This window comes from Homo sapiens, chromosome 2, assembly GCF_000001405.40.
Source record: "Homo sapiens chromosome 2, GRCh38.p14 Primary Assembly".
Taxonomy (NCBI): domain Eukaryota; kingdom Metazoa; phylum Chordata; class Mammalia; order Primates; family Hominidae; genus Homo; species Homo sapiens.
The window spans coordinates 61,313,672-61,338,904 of NC_000002.12; the positions used below are offsets into that span (position 1 = coordinate 61,313,672).

The 25,233-nt window shown below is 37.5% G+C and overlaps 1 protein-coding gene across 1 annotated transcript in view; it reads right to left on the reverse strand.

Annotated features, from left to right (window-relative positions):
- Nucleotides 1-25,233, reverse strand: part of USP34 (ubiquitin specific peptidase 34) — a 283,625-nt gene that overhangs the window by 126,209 nt on the left and 132,183 nt on the right. Inside the window, exons 19-25 of the mRNA NM_014709.4 lie at nt 20,211-20,300; nt 17,605-17,700; nt 11,704-11,786; nt 5,502-5,656; nt 3,983-4,096; nt 1,204-1,303; nt 914-1,073 (exon numbers count right to left, since the gene is read on the reverse strand). Coding sequence (NP_055524.3) covers nt 914-1,073; nt 1,204-1,303; nt 3,983-4,096; nt 5,502-5,656; nt 11,704-11,786; nt 17,605-17,700; nt 20,211-20,300 — 798 coding nt within the window. The remainder of the gene's footprint in view (nt 1-913; nt 1,074-1,203; nt 1,304-3,982; nt 4,097-5,501; nt 5,657-11,703; nt 11,787-17,604; nt 17,701-20,210; nt 20,301-25,233) is intronic.

The following is a 25,233-nucleotide window of genomic DNA, read 5'->3' on the forward strand; positions in this document are numbered from 1 at the left end:
AGTTCCTTTCCACATTCATTAAAAACACAAGGAATTCTTTAAGCAGAATTTCCATGAATTGCAATCTTAAAGAATTCTGTAATGTCCAAATGTTTCAAATCATGGAAGCATGTTATTTATAAGGAATGTATAAAATATCTTTACTATGCAATCTTTCTTGATATTTTAAAAATGTCAATAAATATCACTTGTATCACTTCAATATCAAACTAAGATCTGAAGTTGAAAAAAGTTACTAACTTTAACAATTTTTTTCAACACAGTTCTTAGTACTTTTACATTTGCTCATAATTTTTAACAAATAGAATTTCTTAAAACTATCTACTCACCTTTCATTTCAGTCGATATATTCATAAATATTAATTTGCTTTATTTCTGTATTACACAGGTTATGTCTAAATTAATTATACAGATATTCATTAACAGAATTTTTTGGTCATGTTTCCATGGTAAATGGAAATTCAAAATTAAAATACTGTCTCCTAGTCCAGGAAGAAAAAAAAAACAGCAAATGAAACATATGACTCAACTTGATTCAACTATGAGATTATTTGATGTTCTTGGTAAGAGTTTTAGAGAAACTTTTTTTAGTAGTGGTGTTCTGCCTTTTTAATCAAAGTCAATACTTTATCTTAGAGATGGAATTCTGTCTAACAATTCTTATTCATGCATATCTGCTCAAACTCTATTATTAAAGGTGTGCAATATTTATCAGGAACCCGTATTGCCTATTCCAAGGCAAAATGGTATATATTCTTAATAAAAATTACTTATGTTACTGATCCTTCACTTTGGTAAATTATGCTTTCTACTTGACCCCAACAAAAACTTTAGATTCACTTTAAGAATATTTCTGGATATGTCAGGAATAAAAATGAAATTCATTCTAACAGTGTGATATTTTAAAAATTACCTTCTCCTAAACGCTTCCAGATGTGTCTTCAGCATAAGGAGTCCTCTTTCTATAACCATGAGACTTGAGTGTGATTCCTGTTCAAGACTGCTAGAAGCTATCATAAGACTCTCCATGCACTTACTAATAAATTCTTGCTCCTTCTCCAAACCTGTTTTACCTGAAAGCCAAATGTTTAGACACATATATTAGCCTTATATTCTTGTTTAGCTATATCAAAGAAAAATTTTAGTTTCACAAAACACCCTCACATAGAAATTACCTATCAGACAATGTTTCAAATCACTTACCATTAATATAATAGGAGTTAATATACTGGATAGCTGCTCGACTGACATCACCAGATTGTGCTCTTAAAGCAATGCCCCAAAATTGGTCCATACCACACAGCTAAGAAAGAAAAATATGGTATCTCTAAATTTTGTTTGTCAAACTATGTAACTCATTAAGACTGAAGTATCAAAAGTAAAAATCATAGGCAACTCCTATTATTCAGCTATTAAATAATAAAAATAAATGATTTAAAAATTTCCTCAATTGATGAAATACACCTGTACTAGTTCTAAAAAATATTTATACAGCAGATAACAATATATACATGTTTAACTCACAAGTTGTGACTACATAGTACGAAAATTCTAGTCCTGAAAAACATACTATAAAGGAATAAAACCAACACAATAACGAGCACAATGCTTCAATGAATCCATCCAACCTAAACTGAGAAAACCACTGCTTTCTTGTATTCACAGAAAATTAACAACATATGCTAACTCAAGTTCTCACCCAATTTTTTTTTTTTTTTGAGAACAGAGTCTCACTCACTTGCCCAGGCTGGAGTGCAGTGGCGCAATCTTGGCTCACTGCAACCTCTGCCTCCCAGGTTTCCAAGGATTCTCATGCCTTAGCCTCCTAAGTAGCTGGGATTACAGGCATGCGCCACAACATCTGGCTAATTTTTTTGTATTTTAGTAGAGACAGGGTTTCACCATGTTGGCCAGGCTGGTCTCGAACTCCCAACCTCAGCTGATCCACCCGCCTCAGCCTCTCAAAGAGGTGGAATTACAGGTGTGAGCCACTGCGTCCAGCCTCATTCAAATTTATGATGTCAACCATGAGATGACAACAAAAAATGTTTTCACTAAAAACTACAGAAAAAGTGGCGAGTGGAAGCTTCCAAAAGTTGGGCAGAGTAAAGAAAGATTTCCTTCTAAATTGGCAGCTAAACAACTTTAGTGTTAATGTCACCTACTTTAAAAAGGTAAACTTATTTCATAACAGAGCACGACTACTTCAGTTGTCTGAAATTACCAAATTGAAAATTATCATAGTGGGCCGTGTGGAGTGGCTCACGCCTCTAATTGCAGCACTTTGGGAGGCTGAGGCAGGCAGACTGCCTGAGCTCAGGAGTTCGAGACCAGCCTGGCCAACACGGTGAAACCCTGTCTCTACTTTAAAAAAAAAAAAAAAAAAAAATTAGCCAGGCAGGCATGCGCCTATAATCCCAGCTACTCGGGAGGTTGAAGCAAGAGAATTGGTTGAACCTGGGAGGCGGAGGTTGCAGTGAGCCAAGATTGTGCCACTGCACTCCAGCAGTTATCAGAGTGATACTGAAGCAAGGGTTAGGACTAAAAAAACTGAAAAAACCTATTCAGACAAGAAAAGAAGGCAGTAGGAAAATAAAATAAAAGCATTTTAGATACAATTAAAATTATTCTGGCCAGCCGTGGTGGCTCGTACCTATAATCCCAGCACTTTGGGAGGCCAAGGCGGGTGGAAAACTTGAGGTCAGGAGTTCGAGACTAGTCTGGTCAACGTGGTGAAAACCCAACTCTACTAAAAATACAAAAATTAGCTGGGCGTGGTGGTGCATGCCTGTTGTCCCAGCTACTCAAGAGGCTGAGGCATGAGAATCGCTTGAACCCAGGAGGTGGAGGTTGCAGTGAGCTGAGACTGTGCCACTGCACTCCAGCCTGGGCGACAGAGCCAGACACCATCTCAAAAAAAATAATCATAATGGCCTGGTGCAGTGGCTCATGCCTGTAATCCCAGCAGTTCGGGAGGCCAAGGCGGGTGGATCACCTGACGTCAGGAGCTCGAGACCAGCCCCGCCAACATGGTGAAACCCCACCTATACTAAAAATACAAAAATTAGTCAGGCATGGTGGTGCACCCCTGTAATCCCAGATACTTCGGGAAGCTGAGGCATGAGAATTGCTAGAACCCGGGAGGTGGCGGTTGCAGTGAGCTGAGATCACACCACTGCACTCTGGCCTGGGTGACAGAGCCAGACTCCATCTCAAAAAATAATAATAATAAAAATTTTTAAAAATAATTCTTTTTCCTTTTTAAAAAAATTTCCCCAAACTTGCTAAGAGATACAAGTATTCTTTTTTCTTCAGATGGAGTCTTGCTTTGTTGCCCAGGCTGAACCAAATGGCATAAAAATCATATCTGAGACAAATCAATCTTTTATTTGAAGTAAAATATTTGGCTGTATTATCTAGGAATGTCTAGGAGACTCAAAGAACACTGACATGGCCACTTCTTTATAAATCAAGAAACATGTAATAGATTTTCATTAAGCACACCCAATGTTATCTTTCATACTGAAAAATAAATTTGCTTCATAAAACTTTTGAAACCAGAGAACAGAATTGGGCTGAGCACGTTGGCTCATGCCTGTAATCCCAGCACTTTGGGAGGCCAAGGCAGGCAGATCACTTAAGGTCAGGAGTGCAAGACCAGCCTGAGTAACATGGTAAAACCCTGTCTCTACCAAAAATACAAAAATTAGCCAGGCATGGTGGCAAATGTCTGTAATCCCAGCTACTTCGGGGGCTGAGGCTAGAGAATCTCTTGAATCTGGGAGGTGGAGGTTGCAGTGAGCTGAGATCACACCACTGCACTACAGCCTGAGCAACAGAGATAGACTCCATCTCAAAACAAACCCAACTGCACTGCACAGGTAGTAAATTCTATACTTTGTAGAAAAATAATTTGGAAACCGAATTTGATAATCTAATTTGAGGAATAAAGTTGCCTAATAAAGTAAGTCTAAATCCATACCTCAGAATTTGAACAACCATCATAGGCACTGGTAGCCAATCGAGCCAAGTTACAGAGATGCTGAAACAGGTTTAAGCCAGTCATGCTAATTGTTTCAGGTTTTAGCTGGGGCATCTTTGGAAGGGTAGGGGGAAACACAAAGCTAATTTAGTGTGGTAATTCACAGATTTTATTAAATTTAAATAAACTTTACTGAAAACACTGTAGAAGGAAACAGATCAGTTTGAATTTTTAGTGATAATTTTAAAAAATAAAAATATATAATAATTTTGCTGGGCACGGTGGCTCAGTACTTTGGAAAGCCAAGGCAGGCAGATCGCTTGAGCTCAGGAGTTTTGAGACCAGCCTGGGCAACATGGCGAAATCTCATCTCTATGAAAACTACAAAAATCAGCCGGGCATGGTGGTGTGTGGCTGTAGTCCCAACTACTCGGGAGGCTGTAGTGGGAGAATTGCTTGAGCCTGGGAGGTCAAGGCTACAGTGAGACGTGATCACACTACTGCACTCCAGCCTTGGAGACAGAGCAAGCCCATCTCAAAAAAAAAAAAAAAAATGAAAATATATATGTGATTTAATGAACATTTTATTCAGGTAATAACTGAAATGTGTCTGATACAGGCTTCAATTTTGAAGATGTACATAGACCCAAATCAGAGGACATAAATAAAGACAACTATCATGCATTGTATACCTATACTAAACAAACTTATGAGAGGTATAGCTACAAGTACAGTTTTTGTTAAAGTCAGAGGTCGAAATTTAAGATGGCAAAAGTTATATTTGTAGCTCTGTCTTGGGTCTGTTAAGTGATTTAGTTTATACACACTAAAACTCATTCATATATATACTCAGTTCCAACATGGAGATAACGTCACACTTTGCAGAGAGACTTCATAATCTCAAAAATAAGCATAAAAAAGTCTTACTGCATTATTTTCACTGAGTTTCAAAATTCAATTGGGAATAGTTCATTCAGAAAAATGTCACCTGAACTGTGGCATGTGGTAAAGAAGAAGAAAAATTGGAACATCTTTACGATAATGACAACACTTCTTAATATGCCTTCCCACAATCTACACATCTGGAGAATGGCTTATCTTTGCCCAAAAGACTGACTGCAATGACAGTTATTTAAATCATGAAGAGTCACAGAAAACAGCTCTCACACTTGTGGGTGTGGGCACCACCCCTGAAAATTGGACTACAATATTACTGATTATTTCAAAAAAACAAACACTAAGAAAATTAGTGCTGCCTTCAAAAGTTATTGTAATTGTTGAATTATTGTAGCTAATAGAACATTTTTATAAATATAAACTATTAATTTAGAGGTAAACAGTGTAAACAACAAAATTAGAGCACAATCTGACCAAAAATTATATTAGGACTGCTAAAATTCATTACATTTGGCTACTTAAAAAAACTGTCAAAAAAAAAAAGGCATTACAGAATTCGTATTTCAAGAGATGAAAAAGGGAACATGGAAAAATAATAACAAACTGAGAGAAATGTAATTACCTTCTCCAGGAAAAGATGTTTGTAGGTTTCCATACCCATAGCATGTTGATCTTTACTTCGAACTTGATTTAAAAACCAATGGAGTGCATCATCATAACATTCAGAATCTTCTACTAAACAATGCCATAAGATGTCAACTTGCTCTAAACTTAACCCTAGATAAAAATTATAAATTTTATACTTTATTAACTACATACAAAAAAATTAAACTTCTCTTAGGCATGTGTATGTACAGTAAGTCCTCACTTAACACAGATAGGTTCTTGGAAATTGCAATTTTAATTGAAATGATGCATAATGAAACTAACTTTACCATATGTTAATTGATATAAATAAGAGTTATGTTCCTACAGCATATTTATGATTAAAAAAAAAAAAAAGAATCACAGCAGCCAGGTGAAGTGGCTCCCATCTGTAATCCTAGCACTTTGGGAGGCCGAGGTGGGTGGACTGCCTGAGCTTGGGAGATCCAGACCAGCCTGGCCAACATGGTGAAACGCTGCCTCTATTAAAATACAAAAAATTAGCTGGGCATGGTGGCGTGTGCCTGTAATCTCAGTTACTCAGGAGGCTGAGACAGGAGAATTGCTTGAACCTGGGAGGTGAAGGTTGCAGTGATACAAGATCGGCCACTGCACTCCAGCCAGGGCAACAGCGCGAGATTCCATCTCAAAAAAACCAAAAAAAATTCACTAAACTTTCTTATTTAGAAGTTAACACTTTGAATATTAAACACTGGAATAAATGTGAGCTATATATACATTTAAGAAAGATTAATACAAACCACTAAGATAGTTATTTATCCAGTTTTTGGCGAATCGGTGGTGGTAGATGAAATCAAGGACTAAATGGTTACAAATTAAACACACTAAGGAGCACTTCCTACCACCAGACAGTTTAAACACAAACAATAACAAATTCAGTGGGCTCGCTTTTGTACCACATCATTTATGGCTATGCATTTCTACGAATATGATAGAGCTTACAAATTTCTATGTTACAATTTGTATTCATTCATTTGCTCATTTTCCAACTCGCTTATTCCAGTTCAGGGTTGTGGGTGGCCAAATCGTATCCCAGCATCTCAGGGACTAGTATCTTAAGGACAGGGCAGTAACTAACCTTGACCAGGAAGCCATTCCATTGCAGATTGCCCTCATACACACACCCATACTCATTCAGATTGGGATCATTTAGACATGCCAATGAATCCACAGTGCATGTCTTTGGGATGTGGGAGGAAACCAGGGTACCCAGAGAAAACCCATGCAGACATGGGGAGAATGTGTAAATTCTGCACAGGCAGTGGCCCGGGCCAGGAATCAGTTTTTTTCCTCATTAATGTTAAAACATTATTTGATGACCTACTGTAGTTTATTTATATAAAAGTGTATAAAATATTTACTATCTCATCCAGGCGCAGTGGCTTACACATGTAATCCAGCACTTTGGGAGGCTGAGGTGGGAGAATCACTTGTGGCCATGAGTTTGAGACCGGTCTGGGCAATATAGGAAGACATTGTCTTTACAAAAAATTAAAAAACAAAAATTTGTAGGCTGGGCGTGGTGGCTCACGCCTGTAATCCCAGCCCTTCGGGAGGACGAGGTGGGTGGATCACCAAAGGTCAGGAGTTCAGAACCAGCCTAGTCAACATGGTGAAACCCCGTCTCTACTAAAAATACAAAAATTAGCCAGGCGTGGTGGTGGGTGCCTGTAATCCCAGCTACTCGGGAGGATAAGGCACGAGAATCGCTGGAACCCGGGAGGTGGAGGTTGCAGTGAGCTGAGGCCTCACCACTGCACTCCATCCTGTGCGACAAGAGCAAGACTCCGTGTCAAAAACAAACAAAAAAGTAGCTGGGCAGGGTGGCACGCACCTTTAGTCCTAGCTACTTGGGAGGCTGAGGTGGGAAGGCTCTTCGAGCCCAGGAGTTCAAGGCTGCCCTGAACTATGATCATGCACTTCAGCCTGGATGACAGAGCGAGACTGTCTCTTTAAAAAAAAAAACAAAAAAATGGCCAGGCGCAGTGGCTCATGCCTGTAATCCCAGCACTTTGGGAGGCTGAGGCAGGCAGATCATGAGGTCAGGAGATCAAGACCATCCTGGCCAACATGGTGAAACCCTGTCTCTACTAAAAATACAAAAATTAGCTGGGTGTGGTGGCACATGCCTGTAGTCCCAGCTGCTCGGGAGGCTGAGGCAAGAGAATTGCTTGAACCTGGGAGGTGGAGGTTGCAGTGAGCCAAGATTTGCGCCACTGCTCTCCAGCCTGGTGACAGAGTAAGACTCCGTCTCAAAACAAAAAACAAAACAAAACTATCTCAATAAGTATTTCTTATGTCATCCTATTTGTAAAATTTAAAATCACATTCATACAACATTTTGGCCCTAAATGAATGTACCAGAAACACCAATATAGCCAGAAACACAAAGGAGATATCTTACAGCCTTTTACAAGTATTTAATACGAATTTTCACATAATTTATGTTTTTAAAATGTAGTTTAAGATAACCCATATGTAAATCACCTAAAAATACACAACTTACGAAGTATTCTCAAAGAACCCATTTAGGAAGAAAATTCTTCTCCCTAAAATAGGAGCACATCCGTATAATAGTAAAAATGATTGGGGGAGGTAATCCTAAAAATTGAGGAATCAGTGGTTAAGGTTTGAGTATTATAAATAGAGTGTATACCATGTTCAAAGGTCATTCTCTGTATATAGGAGATAAATAAGTAAGCATTATTTTTGTAAAATATGAAAAAAGGAGGCCGGGCACGGTGGCTCACACCTGTAATCCCATCACTTTGGGAGGCCGAGGTGGGTGGATCACCTGAGGTCGGGAGTTCGAGACCAGCCTGACCAACATGAAGAAACCCCATCTCTACTAAAAATACAAAAAATTAGCTAGGCGTGGTGGCGCATGCCTATAATACCAGCTACTCGGGAGGCTGAGGCAGGAGAATCGCTTGAACCAGGGAGGTGGAGGTTGCGGTGAGCCAAGATCACGCCAATGTACTCCAGCCTGTGTGACAAGAGCAAGACTCTGTCTCAAAACAAAACAAAGACAAAGAAAAAAAGAAAAAAGGACCCTTATGATGAAGAAAGCAAAAGGAAACTGCCTAAAACAGACAACAGCAACATATCAGAGGACATAATCAGCTAGGGAGTCAGGCTAATGAGAGAAAATCTGTACTGTACCCAATTATTATTAAAGGATGCCCCAGTGTGGCAGAAGACAGACGAACTATTCAGAACAAAAGGGAAGGCATTATAGGCAATCACAAGTACGAGTATGAAAAAAATTAGACAGTCCAAAAGGTTAGAACAAAACATCCCAGGGATTTCTGAAGTACATTTTAAGAGGTTCCAAACCCTGGGGTGGTGCCCTAGAACCAGAAGGGGCATGATGGTATGGTACCATCAAAAGAAATTTCTTTTATTGGGAAAAGTAGATGAAATGACAAAATACAGAAAAATTCCTCAGAAATATTCACCCTAGTAGCAGTATCAGTCTAAAGAGTTTTATCAGAAAAAAGTTATCCTATCAGTTTCTCACTGAAACAGTTAATGTGTAGATTATTTGTTCTGAGAACTTGTGCCCATAGAAGCAAATATAAATAAACCCAAAACAATTTTAGTATATATCAGAACTTAAACACATTAATTAAGGAGAACAAGATAAAGAGTATCCAGGTTAATTATAGTCAACTAAATAAAAAAACAGAAGTATATCCATAATTGGCTGAATCACCAATCCACATTCAATGAGCAACTTAAACACTTTTGTTATTTTTTAAAAGACTATAGTTATTGTCATATTGAAAATCAGTATTAAAATATTGGATGTAATTACATATAACTTTGAAGTAACTTCGTTATGGGTAACAGGAACTGTGCCAATAAGAGAAGTACAACCAGCCATGCACAGTAGTCTGAGGCCTGTAATCCTAGCACTTTGGGAAGGTAAGGCAGGAGGATCGCTTGAGTCCATGAGTTTCAGACCAGGCTGGGCAACATAATGAGACTCTGTACAAATAATTTAAAAATTAGGCTGGGCGCAGCGGCTCACGCCTGTAATCCCACCACTTTGGGAGGCCGAGGCGGGCGGATCACGAGGTCAGGAGATCGAGACCATCCTGGCTAACACGGTGAAACCCCGTCTCTACTAAAAATACAAAAAAAAGTTAGCTGGGTGTGGTGGTGGGCGCCTATAGTCCCAGCTTACTTGGGAGGCTGAGGCAAGAGAATGGCGTGAACCTGGGAGGCAGAGCTTGCAGGGAGCCGAGATTGTGCCACTGCACTCCAGCCTGGGCAACAGAGCAAGACTCCGCCTCAAAAAAAAAAAAAAAAAAAATAGCCAGGTATGGTGATGTGCACCTATGGTCCCAGCTACTCTGGAGACTGAGGTGGGAGGATCACTTGGAGGGCAGGTGAAGTGGTGGGGAGAACAGCCATGATGTGGGAGAAGTGAAGTTTTAGATTTGATACTATCTGGACAGTAGCTATTGTCTATTGTAAATTCTCAGAGAATCTATACTGTGTATAATAAATATGAAACTTAAATGTTCATGGTATCTATGTTGACTATATGTGTTTTAGTTTGACTTCTCCCTATAGATTGGTTTTGCTGTATTTTACTTATTTCTTGAATGTTATCAGTCATAATGGGTCAATAAATGACGTAATAACACGAAAGAGAAATTTCCTACCAAAATCAGGTCGCTTATTTTTGAAATCTGTTATCCCAGTGTTGCTGGCATTTGTTACAAATAGTTTGAAAAGAAAAAAGAAACAGACTTTAAATAACAAGATAAACACAGTATATCTCAAGCATAGGTATGGACTTGAAAAGAGTCATGACGACTCCTAGCAAGACAGCCATCAGGCTGACAATATATTAACCACAGTTAAAGAGACAATGTCCTTCTAAAAAATAAGGTTTGACATTGACACACAGAAAAAGAAGAATGTAGAGAGTAAAGGATGACAGTCAGTATATGAAGGAAAAAGGAGCTTTGGCTAACAGAAATCAAGCTCGTTCCTCTCTTGTGAGACCATCTATAACCACATGGATTTGGATATGGTACACAACCTGAATATAACAGACCAAGCTCTACTTTTAAAAAATTAACTGTTAACGAAACTGAGTTTAAAGTCAAACTAAATAAAACTGGGGCCTCTAAATGTCTCCATCACCCATAAAGCCAAGTGATTTTCAAAAGATTAGCCCTGATAATAATACATAAATAATACCTATCTCCAACCAAAGGGACAGCAAGATTCTACAAGCAAAAATAATAAAAGATGCAGTCAGCCAGGTGCAGTGACACACTGGTAATCCTAGCACTTTGGGAGGCCAAGGCAGGAAGACTGTTTGGGCCCATGAGTTTGAGACCAGCCTGGGCAACACAGTGAAACCCTATCTCTATGAAAATTTTAAAAAAATTAGCTGGCTATGGTGGTGCATAGTCCCACGTTACTGAGGAGGCTAAGGTGGGATGACTGCTTGAGCCGGGGAGGTCAACAGCTGCAATGAGCTGTGATCGCATCACTGAACTCCAGCCTGGGAGACAGTGTGAGACCATGTCTCAAAAAAGAAAGAGAAAAGGTCTTATAGAACTAAAAAAAAATTTTTAATTTATTTAAAGTGCAAACAATCTCAATTACTTTAATAAATTATCTAAATGTTGGTATAATTTATAAATGTATTAAGAATAATCACTGCAGCAGCCATGAAAAAAGAATGAAATCATGTCCTTTGCAGCAACATAAATGGAACTGAAGGCCATTATTCTAAGTGAACTAACTCAGAAACAGAAAACCAAATACCGTACATTCTTGCTTGTAAGCAGGAGCTAAACAATGGGTACACATGGACATACAGATGAAACTAACAGACACTGGAGTCTCCAAAAGGGGATATGGCAGGAACAGGATAAGGGATGAAAAATAAACTATCGGGTACAATGTTCACTATTTGAGTAATGGGTACACAAGAAGCCCAATCCCTACCAGTACGCAATACTGGTAGGGATTTGTTACAATACCCTGTAACAAACATACATGTGCCCACTGACTCTAAAATTAAATTAAACTAAAAAAAAAAAAAAACTGCAGAAATCAGAAGCAAAAGTAAATTTAGTTCTTCCAATAGTCAAAACAGATTTTTAAAAAGTACTGATTAAAAAACTTACTGAAATGATCAGGTGATCCCAGAGTTGAAAATACACAAGTCAAGAATTGAAGACGAACTTGAACTTCAGCACTATGGCTGTACCTATAATTTAAAAGTCATTAAAATAATTAAATATCCTATTTCTTAATTACTTTTAAAAATTTAGTGGTCCTATGCATAACTTATACCAAAAATTGTTTTAATAATTCATAATTATTTTAACTAAGTATCTTTGGTTACACGAAAGAAGTTCATAAAGGCAAAACAAAAAAATTTATACTATTTAATAAATTACACAAATCTCAAAACTACAACAAAGTTTACTTTCAAATTACATAAGAAAGCACACAAAAATTCAACAGTGAAGCAGAGGAAGTATGTCATTTTAAAAGTATGTAACACACACATAAGTTAGAATAGGCAACAAGTAAAAAACACCATCTCTATCTAAAAAGTACATACTTCATATCATAGTCCCTTTAGTGATAATATATTCTGTACCCAAGAAACACTAATAAAATAATATTTCCATAAATCTAGTTCATGAAAAGTAGAGCTGATACAAAATTTGTATTTTTGAATGTTATTTCCAATCTAAATAATTATAATTCACATGCATAAAATTTGATGCTTAATAAAAAAGTTGCTTTTGAAACTTTTAAAGAAGCAACTTTTAGTGAGGTAGGGTAGGAGATGAGTCTGAATAGATCAACAAGAGACAGACTGTGGTCGGCCCCAAAGTCAGAAAGAAGAGATAGAAAAGGAAGTCAGGGAAGAGTGCTGGTGAGTGGGGGTGAGGGGACCATGTTTGGGGTGGAGGTAATCATCAGGTTTGCTTTTTTAAAAATTTGTGTATTTGGGGCTGGAAGGGGGGCAGAGTCTCACTCTGTTGTCTAGGCTGGAGTGCAGTGACAGAATCACCGCTCACTGCAACCTCTGCCTTCCAGGTTCAAGTGATTCTCGTGCCTTAGCCTCCGGAGTAGCTGGGATTACAAGCTAATCCCAGCTAGGCGTGCGCCACCACACCCGGCTAATTTTTGTTATTTTTATTATAGTAGAGACGGGGTTTCACCATGTTGGCCAGGCTGTCTCAAACTCCTGACCTCAAGTGATCTGCCTGCCTTGGCCTAGCAAAGTGCTGGGATTACAGGTGTCAGCATGACCGGCCCAGGTTTGCATTTTAAAAGGATTCCTTTCCTTTGGCAACCCCAGTGAACTGCATATTTAACTGTGTCTATAATATCACATTCTAGTTCAAGTACTTGAGCACTCAATGAAACTAAGTCAATAATAAGCTATTATTGCTGTTTTACAGATCAAAAGGCAGACTGTGGATCAACTGCCCAAACTGCTTTGCCAACATAAAACAGTGGCTGGTCTATGCTCTGATCTATAACCTAGCATGCAGAAGGTCAATGGGCATTTTTTTTTTTTTTTTTTTTTTTGCCGAAACGGAGTTTCACACTCGCCCAGGTTGGAGTGCAGTAGCGTGATCTCAGCTCACTGCAACCTCCGCCTCCTGGGTTCAAGCGATTCTCCTGCCTCAGCCTCCCGAGGAGCTGGGATTACAGGTGCATGCCTCCACACCCAGCTGATTTTTTTTTTATTTTTAGTAGAAATATGGTGTCACCACATTAGCCAGCTGGTCTCTAACTCCTGACCTCAGGTGACCCACCCACCTTGGCCTCCCAAAGTGCTGGGATTTCAGGCATGAGCCACTGTGCACAGCCTGGGCATCTTAATTCAATGTCCTGTAATCCACAAGTAAGAGCAAAATTTTAACAGCATCCCAAAATTAGCTTCCCAAAATCGCACTAAATTCATTACTGAAGTTTTAAAGCTTAAGTTTTCTGAAGACTGAGTTCACTGGACATGCCTTTGCTGCTCTTTAGGGTCTCTTATTAATGCTGGCAAAGAAAAGATTAACTTTTGCCTCATTAATGCTGCACTCACCTTTGTGAAAGTGAAAATACATATGACGAGATGTAGGGGAGAGGAAATCTGATAAGCAACTCTCAGACTATAAGGCAACCCAGATAAAATTCAAGAACAGCTAGCTCTTAAGGGCTTCTAGGCTTTTTAAGTTAAACAACAAGGGATTTTGTAGCAGAGGCCTTGAGTACAAATTCAAAAATGAGTTGTATGACCCATCAGTTCTGCGGTTTTACGTTACTGTATCCTCTTGCCTTGTCTATGGGACATCAATCAAACATAAAAGGAGAATAAAGTCTTGCCCTTTACTAAGTGCCTTTACATCTGAAATAATTCTTCCCCTATACTTGCATCTCGGAATAAGGGACTAATAACCCTGAAGGCATGGGTCTAGTCCCTTTGTACTCCCACAGTATAGCCCCGATGCTGCACTTCAAAGATCTCTGTGGGCTCCATCAGGGTCCTATGGGCTGCTGAAACCACCAGTGAGAAAAATTCCTTGGGATGTCAGACAAAGATGGTATCAATATTGACAAATTCTCATGGGCTTGTCCATGGCTTCTGACATCACAGGAAATACAGGACAAAAACAGTCTCCCCAAAGATATGAAACTTTAGTAACAGATTACTGCCTTAAAAGAAAATCTCTTTGTAGCCTCCACAGACAAGATATTCTCTAGAGGGCACTGGATTCAGGAAACACGTAATATGTCCTTTTAAGAACATACTACAGGTGCAGTGGCTCATGCCTGTAATCCTAGCACTTTGGGAGGCGGAGGCGGAGGCGGGTGGATCGCCTGAGGTCAAGAGTTCGAGACCAGCCTGGCCAACATGGCGAAACCTTGTCTCTACTAAAAAGCGAAAACGAGCCGGGTGCAGTGGCAGGCACCTGGATTCCCAGCTACTCGGGAGGCTGAGGCACGAGAATCACTTAAACCCAGGAGGTGGAGGTTACAGTGAGCTGAGATCACGACATTGCACTCCAGCCTGGGCAAAAGAGCAAAAACTCCGTCAAAAAAAAAAAAATAAAGTGAAAAAAAAATAATATAAAATCAAAAAACAAAAATTACAAAATGAAAAAATAAAAATATCATCTTTCATGCTACAAGAATCTTTTTCCCCCCTCGGTGAAAAATTTCAGAACTTTCCTATTTTAATCTCCACTGGAAAAAAAATACTGAAATAAGTATGCATGAACAAAGAGTAGCAAATGTACACTTGTTTTACAGCCTGAAGGAATAGGGAAATTGTATCAAAATAGTCCAGACAACATCTCTCTGTTCTAAGAGTTTTATTCTCCTAGGATGGCAGCCAACAAGGCAGATTGAAAGGTTGGAAAGATTATTCTAGTATACCCTAAAAACACATCTCCAAGGAGCCCTACTCCTTTTTCACCACAGAAGCAATGCTTTGCTCACCTCTGATTCCACTAACAAAGTGAGTAACTTCACTGTTGTCAATGCAGTGAACAACTAAGTCTCAGACCTATGTTCCTTTTTGATACTTAACGTTGGACTTTCTCTTTACGAGGATGATTCACTTTATGACTTCCATTTCCCTTTCACTATGCCTCTCAAGTCCTGCTCTTCAAGTCCACAGGCTTACAGCTGTGGTGGGAGCTCTTTTATAACCTAGTGTTTATTTCTTTGCTGACAAGTAATTAACTCCCCATCTCCTAATAAAAATGTGGGCCATGTGTGGTTTTATTTCTGCTCTTTGTTGATCCTATGATTTTTGTTTGTTTTGTTTTTGAGACGGAGTTTCACTCTTGTTGCCCAGGCTGAAGTGCAGTGGTGCGAGCTCGGCTCACTGCAACCTCCACCTCCTGGGTTCAAGTGGTTCTCCTGCCTCAGCCGCCTGAGTAGCTGAGATTACAGGCATGCGCCACCACGCCTGCCTTTTTTTTTTTTGTATTTTTAGTAAAGACGACGTTTCTCCATGTTGGTCAGGCTGGTCCGGAACTCCCAACCTCAGGTGATCTGCCTGCCTCAGCCTCCCAAAGTGTTGGGATTACAGCCATGAGCCACCATGCCTGGTGATCCTATGATTTTTATAGAGCATAAATGTAATGTTTGGATTCAAGAGGCCACCATTATCGTCAAACTCTGCTTCAATAGGAAAAAAGAAGGATACTGACTTGGAATAACAGTTAGAATTTTAATATAATTTTAAAATAATACATCCTGTATAGAGGGAACTTTGTAAGCAAAGCTATGGAATACAGTAAATAGAAATACCCCAGAAATAATTTGATAAGCTTGTAGAATAAACTGTCAAAAAAAATTATAAAACTGGAAAGGTTGAGTTGAGTTCATAGACAGTCCAGAATACTAAGCTGAAGAGATTGGTATTTTATTTTTTATGCCATGAAGAATCTCTGGATGTGGTTAAGAGACAGAATTCTTGTATATTTCATATGCTATATTATTTGTTTTAACCAGGTAACTACAATTTGTAGATAACCTATGTGCCAGGTACAATTCATTGTATCATTTCATTAAATTCTTATAAACACTTATAAGGTAAATAATTGGAATTAGAAGGGTAAATAATTGAAATAAGGTTAAAATAATAGATTAATAACCTAGAGCTAGGTCTGCATGATTCTCAAGCCCATGGGCTTCCCAACAGTACCATACTGCCTTCCTAATTTGACAGATAGAAAGAATGAACCAGCATATGGGAAGACTGAGGCAAGGAGACTAAACTAGAGGTGGTTATAAGGACAAAAGTAGTGTTTGCGGAAATGTCAACTTGTGAAAAGACATGGGGTATATTTTAACAAAAAGGTAGAGATTAATGGCAGTATAATGTAGCATTTACAAATACAAATTCTATAACAGAAACAGACTGTCGGTACAGAAGCTCGCTCTATTCTTTGTGTGTGACGTTGGACAAGTTGTCATATCATATAGCTTCAGTATACTCATTTCTAAAGTAAAACGGTCTCAAATGGGTTGTTGTATATCTTAAAATAGTTGATATCTGACACAATGGTAAATATCAACTAACACTGGCTTTTTTCTCATCGTCATCATTATTCATGTTTGGAAATAAGAGTACAAAAATGCCTCAAGTCTCAAGTTTTAGGCAAGTGGGAGGATAGCTGCACCCTAAAGGACACAGTAAAAATAAAATCTAGAGAAGTAACTGATTTGTGCAGGGAAATAAGTAAATTTATTTTTAGAAGTATGCATGCCTTAAAGGTCTATGACTTTTCCGAACACTTCTACAGTCTGCTTAGTTTCCACCTTTGTGGAAGTTTTCTATGTGATTTTTTCAATCACAGTGTGACTCCTCCTCTTCTTCATTAATATGCCAGTAGTGGCATTGAACTGGTTTCCTCAACATGGACATCGGTCCATAACAATCAGCTCACCAGCAGAAATCTTCTGAATCTCCTATGCATCTCCTTAAAGAAGCTTCAAATACAGCTATACCACCACCAATCCATTTCTACCAATTCTTGTCCCAAATCACTTGAATATATCCAGAGAATATTTTGATGTAATGAGAAAATATTAATGATATACCACCAGTTTTAAAACCTTCCACACGTCCTAAACTTTCTAATACTAGTATGCAATTATAATAAAATGTTTTAAATTAACTGTTAATTATTTTTGAAGTAAATATTTACAAATTTTAGAATCAATGCTCTAAACTGTTAAAACAAGCATATCTATGGTTTCTGAAAAAATGTATTTACTTTTGATTCCTTAAAAACAGTTATCTTTGAACAAATCTCAATAGTGAAGGTTAACCAACCCCCAAAAGTGAGCCAGCTACATTTACCTAAGAATTTAAGAGTAACCTCCTAAGAATCTTTCAGCTTAAAAAGTTCTAGCAGCCTTTTCATAATTTTATACAAATAAAGTTTTCTGTTACAATTACTTATTATATGAAAAAAAGTTAAAACACTGGAAAATCATCTTTCAAAGGAAAGACATCGACACAAATGTATTTAACCCAGTTGAGAGGTACTTACAGTGCATGTTTTTGTCTTCCTTCTCTCACAGTTTGAATGTAGTATACCAAATTATCAAAGAAAAGCTTCATCATGTTCAGTTCTTTTTCTGCCCACCTGGCCCAAATAAAAGAAAAAATAATTTTAAAGTGGGCAGGGTAAGAGAATAAATCTATGCTATGACAGTAAATATGCAAATCTAAAAAAAATCTTCAAATGTAAAATTTTAGTTACGAAAAATATACACGTTTTATTTATATTTGAATGGTGAAAAGATATAAAGCAATGTTCCTTCATTTTTATGAATTTAAAGTACCTTTGTAAGTTTTTAATCTCAAAATGCCTGTGAAAGTACTATTATCAATGACTAATTTGAGTTAATATTAAAAGTAATATGATACCCTTTCATATAAGAATATACTATGTGCTTTGGTCATTACTTAGCACAATATCTGGCATACAGAAGGCATACAATAAACTTACTGCATATATCTTTTGTCATTAATTTGCTTATATTTTTGAACAAAATTTTTTTTAAAAAAATCAAAGAAATACCCAGCACTGAGTTCCAAAATAATGTAGAAATACTACAATGAAAACACAAATAGTGGCATATACATTCAGAGATCCCAGGGTCCATAACTTCCATAATTAACATAATGTATTTCATATAACACCTATTAGCAATTTATCTGCTAAAATGTACAGATGTAGAAGTATTAAAATTCTCTAAGTTCCATGTAATTTACATCGTGTTTCTGTTATAGCCATATTTTAAACAGAAGTTACTTTCACCTTGCTATTCACTAAATAAAGGTCAAGTGGTAGAAAGAAAAAGACTTTGGGTTTGAAGGCAGCTCCAATACACTTGCTACAACACAGCTTCAGGCAAGTAAGCTGTCTTGTGGAAGTCTGTTTGCTTGAAGGTTTATTAGAAGAATCAAGGGTAAGTTTCCAATTTTAAACTATGGGCCATTAGAACGAGTTTAAGAGATAATATGTACTAAATATTAAGTGCTGCTATACATACTAGACTCACAATAAATGACAGCTTTTGTTGTTACTGATGTCAAATAACCACAGGAGTTCTTTTAAGTGATGTAGTTTATGAGATTTAGGATACCAATCTCTTGTGGTAATGGAAACCCTGTGAATTTTCCTTAATTAAGCTTATTTACATTTAATTTAAGGAACAAGCTAAAAGAGTTTCAACTCAATATATTTAGGTTCGGGTACTTGATTAAGTAACTGAATATTCAGAGACTGCCCCTTCTATACAAGAAAGTTACTCCTTAATATGAACCACCTCCACTGACTATAATGACACCTGCTCGCCCGTGTTAGCACCAAATGACTGCCTTTACTGCATTAGAATTTTGAAATTCAGCCACTTAAAAATTATAGAAAGAGGCAATGAAAAATGGCTCACACTATTCTTGTTCTTCAGTGATGTTAAATGCTTTCCCTTACCCCTCCTTTTGGAAGCTGAAGGACCTTCCTTGCAAAAACAGAACCTTCACTGGATTCTTACTGTAGTATTAACCAAAGAAAGAGACTAAGATACTTCTAAATAATAATAAAGGTCCAGATTAAACATATTCCCTTTAAAAGAACAATTAGAAGCAAGGTATATGACTCAGAAGAATTAACTTCATCTAATCTGGAATTATAGTGCAGACTTCCAAGAACTATAAAAGTGATACTCCACTGTGAAAGCAAGCAAGTGTTCTTACCACCTAAGCTTAGAATTGAGAACTTGATCTCACAAATGAATCCTTCAACAAGTCGAATTTTCCCTAAAATTCAAATGTCTCCGAAATCTCTCCAAAAGCTTATTTAGAATAAAGCATACAACACATCTTCTTAATGTATTGTTTGTGGTAGACAACTTTCTCTAGACTTATTACCAAAACATGGGGTCGATTTCACATAAAAGTTCTACCTCTGGAAGAATTATTGTAACATTCATTAATCATAAGTTCTCCATAAATGGAGTAACTAGTTGAATATCCCTTATCCAAAATGCTGGAGACCAGAAGTGTTTCAAATTTTTTCAGATTCCGTAATATTCGCAGAATGCATAGCAGTTGAACATAACTAATCCAAAAATCCAAATTCCAAAATGCTCCAATGAATATTTCCTTTGAGTGTCCTACTGATGCTCCAAAAATGTTGGATTATGGAGCATTTCAGATTTTAGATTTTTCAGATTAGGCATACTCAACCTGTAATAAGGTAGTGTCAAGATTACCCCAAACATGACATTAGGTCTACAGCCAATTCCTAGAAATGGGAAAAATTAAAGGCATGCCAGAGTTTACTTTAGTGTGGCTCTTCTTCAAAAGTACTCTGCTGTAGCTGCATACGCTAAAAATCTCCCTAAAATTAGAGTATTAATTGCTAAAGTACTGTTCTCAAACTCCAAAGAAAACAAAACACAGATTTTCCTACTGATCAGGATATAATCTCTACAGGGGTAAGTGGCAGAAAAATCTAAGAAAACAAACCACATGAAACTCAAATTTTCCTGGTACAGAGTAAAAGCTTGTAGGTTAGTCAAAACCTTTAGATAACTATAATTAGAAAAAAATCTTTAAAATAAATACTTTTTTCTTTTATTTACTTACATTGTTATCCAGTGTGTATCGTAACTGCTCCCAAACTGCTGAAAAGTACCAAATAGTTTTGGAAGAAGACGAAGTGAAATTACTACTGATCTGAAACAGCAGAAACATTCACAAAATAATTTTAGTAATTCTTTTTATAGAAATTCAGCCATTTAAAATTTTAAATGCTAAAAGATTTAATGAATCTTGCATAGAGACATATTATTACACAAACATTAAACTTTTTTTCTCAGAAGTATAAATTCATTTTACATATTAGGGCAAGAACTGCAAGTTTAAAAAATTCCAATCCAAGATCTTTAAGGTAAAACACACTATAAATATCTGGGTAAAAAAGCAAGTGAAGAGCATTTAAAGATGTTTCTTAAATGAAACTATTTCTTCATAAGTCATTACCATTTTCTCCTAAATTCTCAATATGATTTGCATTCAAATTGAGAATCATGACCTTATGAACCACGTCACTAATGGAAGCACACCACATACCTCAAAAGTATAAGGAGCAGAAAGGGGAAAGGAAATTACTTTAAAACTTCAAGTAGATCTGAGTCTGCCTATCCTCTGAAAGGAACAGGTACAGGACAGATACTGACATAGAAATCCTGGAAGTAGGAAAGGAGGTTGGCTGCATGAGCCTTAAAAGAGGCAAAACAAATTCTAATGAAGAACTAAACTTATTTTAATCTTAGAAGCCAATACTGCTTCATGAAAAAATTTTTCACAAATTTAGGAAGTAAATTTTATTCACTTCCTGAATTTTCTTCAATAAACATGTTTTCATTTATAAAATGCAATGTGGAAGCAAGTATATGTTTGACGTTAGAGAAATAAGACGCCAGGCATTAAGTGGTTATTGACTGAGTTCAGTGAATAATGGTGTGGTTCATGAAAGACACAAACCAAAAGTAGGAATGTAGAAATAAGACTCATCTTCCTTCTACTCCTACCCTAAAGGAATGCTTTTCTCCAGAATTTATAAGTGCTGAATTATTGAGGAATAATTACATTATACATGGCTAAAGATTTTTAAGAGTTTTTCCTAAGATTATCTAAAAACTTCCAACTTTTCTCCCATTTAAAAGAATCAAATTCCAAAGAACAAAGACACACATTTTAAGTGCTATAATGACCAGACAGAGTCAAAGTCATCCCAAAGCACTAAAACATTTTATTAAAACTGATAAAATTTGTTTTTAAATGACAGAAAGTACTGCTTTTAGACTATAAATTAATAAAACACAGAATGGGAAAGATAATTTTGGCCTGGTGATAATAATTTATGTTTCAATGAAAAAGGAAACTTTACAAAATCAAATATAAAACTCGTTCCAATAAAGATTAAATTGTAGAATTTCTCCTATAATGACTATGAGATGTTATAATGACTTATCAACTTTTTTGCCCAAGTAGTTCTGACTACTGATATGCTTACAAAACTAACAAAAGCATAAAAGGGAAGTGTTATAGTCAAACTTACATTTCACAAATTCTTTCAAGACTGAAAATTTCAAATACCAAAACACATAATCCTAGGCAACAATGTGGTTAAGATAAAAAGATTCAATGGGCAACCACAAAGGCTCAATGGCCAACGCATAATGGTTCATGCCTGTAATCCCAACACTTTGGGAAGTCAAGGTGAGCAGACTGAGCCCAGGAGTTTGAGACCAGCCAGGGAAACACAGTGAGACCCGGTCTCCACAAAAAAATACAAAAAATTAGCCACCCATGATGGCACATGCCTGTAGTCCCACCTCCTCAGCAGGCTGAGGTGGGAGACTCGCTTGAGCCTGGGAGGCGGAGGTTACAGTGAGCTGAGATTGCACCACTGCACTTGGGCCTGGGTGACACAGTGAGACTGTCTCAAAGAGAAGATAAAGGTTCAATGATCCAGAGTAATAATACACTAATTTTAGACTCAAGAATAATCCTATTATACTGAATTGCACTAGTTGTTTGATTTATTCCAAGAGTTTGTGTTGTAACCAAAAGCTTATGACTATGCAACAGTGTGGTAGTCCTGTAAGAATTACTAAGGCAGCTTTTTGTTATCTTAGAACAGAGACATTCACTGTTGGTCTTCACAGCTGAAGTTACATATGGATGATTTTGCCTAATCTAGGACTCCATATTTTAAAGAAGTATATTCTACAAAATAGTCATTTAAAATTACAGCGTATATCAAAAGTTAACGTGAAATGCCATATATAATATAGTCTCTAGGGAAGCAAAACAAATTGTGTGTGTGTGTGTGTGTCCGCACAATTTTTTTTTTTTTTTTGAGACAAAGTCTCACTGTGTTGCTCAGGCTGGAGTGCAGTGGTGCGATCTTGGCTCACTGCAGCCTTGACTTCCCACCTCAGCCTCCCAAGTAGCTGTAACTACAGGTACGGGCCACCATGCCCAGCTAATTTTAAAGTTTTTCTGTAGAGATGGGGTCTTCCTATGTTTCCAAGGCTGGTCTCAAACTACTGGGCTCAATAGATGCCCCATCTCACCCTCTCAAAGTGTTGGACTTACACGCGTGAGACACTGTACCTGGTCCCTTTTGGATCTTTTTAATTTTCCTACCTATAAAAGAAGTATGTACTCATTTTAGGAAAACTGAGTAACAAATAGGCACAAAGAGAAAAAAAAAAAACCTCAAGCTGGGTGCAGTGGCTCACGCCTATAATCCCAGCACTTTGAGAGGTCAGGGCAAGCAGATCACTTGAGGTCGGGAGTTCGAGACCAGCCTGGCCAACGTGGCAAAACCCCATCTCACCTAAAAATACAAAAGTTAGCTGGGCGTGGTGGTGCACACCTACATTCCCAGCTACTTGGGAGGTTGAGGCAGGAGAATCACTTGAACCCGGGAGGCAGAGGCTGTCGTCAGCCAAGATCATGTCACTGCACTCCAGCCTGAGAAACTGACTGAGACTCCATCTCAAAAAAAAAAAAAAAAAAAAAAAGCAAAACAAAAAACCTCAATCCTCCCAAAAATAACTGCATTGTAGAGATTACACTCTGACTTATTTCTTACAATCTTTTCTTTTTAACGGTTAGGCCTGCAATTATTTGCCTAAATCATTATATAATCTTTGAAAATAGGACCCTTAATGGCTGCATGATATTTAATCTTTCATACAGTTTTCTCTTTCTATTGAAGTATAATAAACATACATACAAAAGAGGGCACAGATCTAAGCGCACAGCTCAAAATACTGAGGTAAACACATCTATGTAACCAGCAACCAAATCAAGAAACGAATCAGTATCAGCATTCCAGGAGCCTCTACTGTGTCCCATTCCAACCACTCAGGGTAGCTATTACCCAGTCTACTAAATACAAGAACTCACCTGTTTTTACATGATATAAATAAAATAATAGAGATACATAATGTTTTTGTGTCTGGCTTCTTTCTTGCAACATTGTGTTTGTGAAATTCAACCAAGTTGTTCCATGTAGTTGTTCACTGTTCATTCAATGTTACTGCTATATAGTATTTCAATGAATAGTCCACAATTATCCTTTCTACTTTTTTTTTTTGCATTTGAATAGCTATGCAAAGAATACGTAGTTATGTTATGTTATTTATTTATTTATTTAGAGACAAGGTCTCACTCTGTTGCTCAGGGCTGGAGTGCAGTGACGTGATCACGACTCACTGCAGCCTGAACCTCCCCAGGCACAAGCAATCCTCCTACCTCAGCCTCCCAAGTAGCTGGGACTACAGGCACACACCACCACATCTGGATACTTTTATTTGTATTTTTTGTAGAGGCGAGGTTTTACCACATTGCCCATGCTGGTCTCAGTCCTGGACTCATGCAATCCACCTACCTTGGCCTCCCAAAGTGCTGGGATTACAGCCATTAGCTACTGCGCCCGGCCTAGTTATTTTCAATAGGGCTGCTGTTAGCATTCTTGACTCTGCCTTTGGGTGATCACCAGGGTATATTTTGTTAGGCATATACTTAGAAGAGGAATTACTGGGTCAGAGGGTATGCAGATGCACATATGGAGAGTACAAATTATTGAACCACTTATTAAAATTTGTGTTTTCACAAAGACTTTTAAAAGAAAATTAACATTTTACAATTAACTGTTATAAAACCTATGTAAATGATGACATATCATCCAGCCATTAAAAGAATTATTTTCAAAGAATATATACCGGCCAGGCACAGTGACTCACGCCTGTAATCCCAGCACTTTGAGAAGCCAAGGCAGGAGGATCACCTGAGGTGAGGAGTTGAAGACCAGCCTGGCCAACATGGTGAAACTCCATCTCTATGAAAGTACAAAAATTAGCCAGCCATGATGGCAGGTGCCTGTAATCCCAGCTACTCAGGAGGCTGAGGTGGGAGAATCGCTTGAATGCGGGAGGCAGAGGTTGCAGTAAGCCAAGATCACACGACTGGACTCCAGCCTGGGCGATGGAGCAAGACTCCATGTCCAAAAAAACAAAGAATGAATACCAAAGGAGGCAACTGATTCATTTACAAAGTTCTACTAGTGGTTTCTTATATGTGCATGAACAATGAATTTTTCTACTGTAACTGCTCAACGTATTGCCCTTTAAAGAACCAAAAAAAGAAAATAAAATATAGCATGTACTTTTAAAATTCAATAGGGGAAAAAAATATTTTCAAGCACTTATTTGGTAAAATTAGACAATCATAGCAGGCCTACACAGATGTGAGCAGAAAACAATATATTAATAACTGAACTGTCAACATACACACCAGAATTGTGTTTTCACTACATTAGAGAATGGAACACTATCAAAGCAGTATAGGTCAAGGGAAACATGAAACTGTATCCATGGAAGAACACTGAAAACCAAGAAATGTGTCATCAACTGAGTCCCAATGAGAAGTACATAAATATGAGGCAGAATTCAAACAAGAGAAAAAAACACTAATCTGTTTAAAAACAAAAACCAAAAAACAAAAAAAGACTTTTGAGGTATGACAAAAGAACTGTACATATCTAATATATACAACTTGATGAGTTACTAACCTAGTCTTTTATGCACTA